Genomic DNA, 1,358 nt, shown 5'->3' with positions numbered 1-1,358 from the left:
AAATGAAATAAATTCATATAAGAAAAAAAAGAAAAGAAACTGCAACCCAGCTAATGATGATGACACATCTGCTATGTGAGATGCTGTGCTAGGTACTTCAACGCATCTTAATTTACTCAACCCTCAACCACCCTCCAAGATAGATCTCAGGGTCTGTTTTTTTGTTTTTTTCTGTTTTTTTTGTTTGTTTTATTTTTATAGATAGGGTAGCTGAGACTCAAGTTGGGACTTGTCTGAGCTCAGGTGGTGAGTGGCAAGGCTGAGATGTGAGCTCAGGTCTGTATGATTGTAAAACCAAGCCTTTTCTCACTTCTGCAAGGCACATCTAGTTTCGAATCATTACAGCTGGGTGTTCCTTGACAGCAAAATCCACGCCCTGGACTTTTCTCAGTCCTCTGATTCTCCTACATTATTGGACACTTAATCTATGCTGAGTTAATATTGATGATTAAATTAGATGAAATGTATTAAAAACACCTAGTACATTGCAAGCCCTCGGGGGAAAAAGGCTTGTTGGTTTTTATTTATTCTAAAGAAATGGAAATGAGCTTGGAGGCATCATCTCATATTGAGGCACTTGGTCTCAGATCAGCTTCCTATTGCTATGCCCTGAATGTTTATGTCTTTCCAATATTCTTATAATGAAACCTAATTTTTAATGGGATGTTATTGAGAGGTAGAGACTTTAGGAGGTAACAAGTAGTGAAGGTGGAACCCTCAGGAATGGGATTAGAGCCCTTATAAAAGAGAACTCAGGGATCCTGTTGACCTCTTCTATCATGTGCGGAAGCAGTCAGAAGGTGCCGTCTATGAGAAATGAGCCCTCTCCAGCCCCAGGATAAGCTGGTGCTTTAATCTTGGACTCCTCAGCCTTCAGATCAGGGCCTAGCACAGTTCCATGTGCTTAACAGGGCTCATTTTATGCATTAACCTGCTGGTGAGACCTTGGCACAGATGGTAGGGCCATGGATTATGATGACAATATTTAACAATTGGCTCAGCATGGATATCCACCCATCAGAATAAACACTAGTCTTTAAAAAGAAAAGATGGAGAAGTTCTGGCGGCTGCTGGCTAAATGCCAGGCCTGGGTCATCTGAGGCTGTCTGCTCAGGAGCTGTTTAGTCTTTTTATGCTGTTATAACACATGCCATAGACTGGGTGGCTTACAAACAATAGGAATGTATTTCTCACAGTTCTGAAGGTTGGGAAGTCCAAGGTGAAGGCACCGGCAGATTCCATGTCTCATGAAGATCCACTTTCTGCTTCATAGTCAGTGCCTTCTTGGTGAGTCCTCATATGGCCAAAATGGCAAGGGAGCTCTCTGGGGTCTTTTTTATAAGGACACTAATATCATT

The 1,358-nt window shown here is 41.8% G+C and overlaps 1 annotated feature.

The window, feature by feature from the left end:
• Nucleotides 220-329: an enhancer, noted in NCBI's record as "active region_27066". NCBI's record gives its function as "activates an Ori minimal core promoter by ATAC-STARR-seq in GM12878 lymphoblastoid cells {active_cell/tissue: GM12878}" and the evidence as "EXISTENCE:reporter gene assay evidence [ECO:0000049][PMID:35858748]".

The sequence above is a fragment of the Homo sapiens genome, chromosome 8 (genome assembly GCF_000001405.40).
Source record: "Homo sapiens chromosome 8, GRCh38.p14 Primary Assembly".
Lineage (NCBI taxonomy): Eukaryota > Metazoa > Chordata > Mammalia > Primates > Hominidae > Homo > Homo sapiens.
This window is presented reverse-complemented; position numbering and strand designations above follow the sequence as displayed.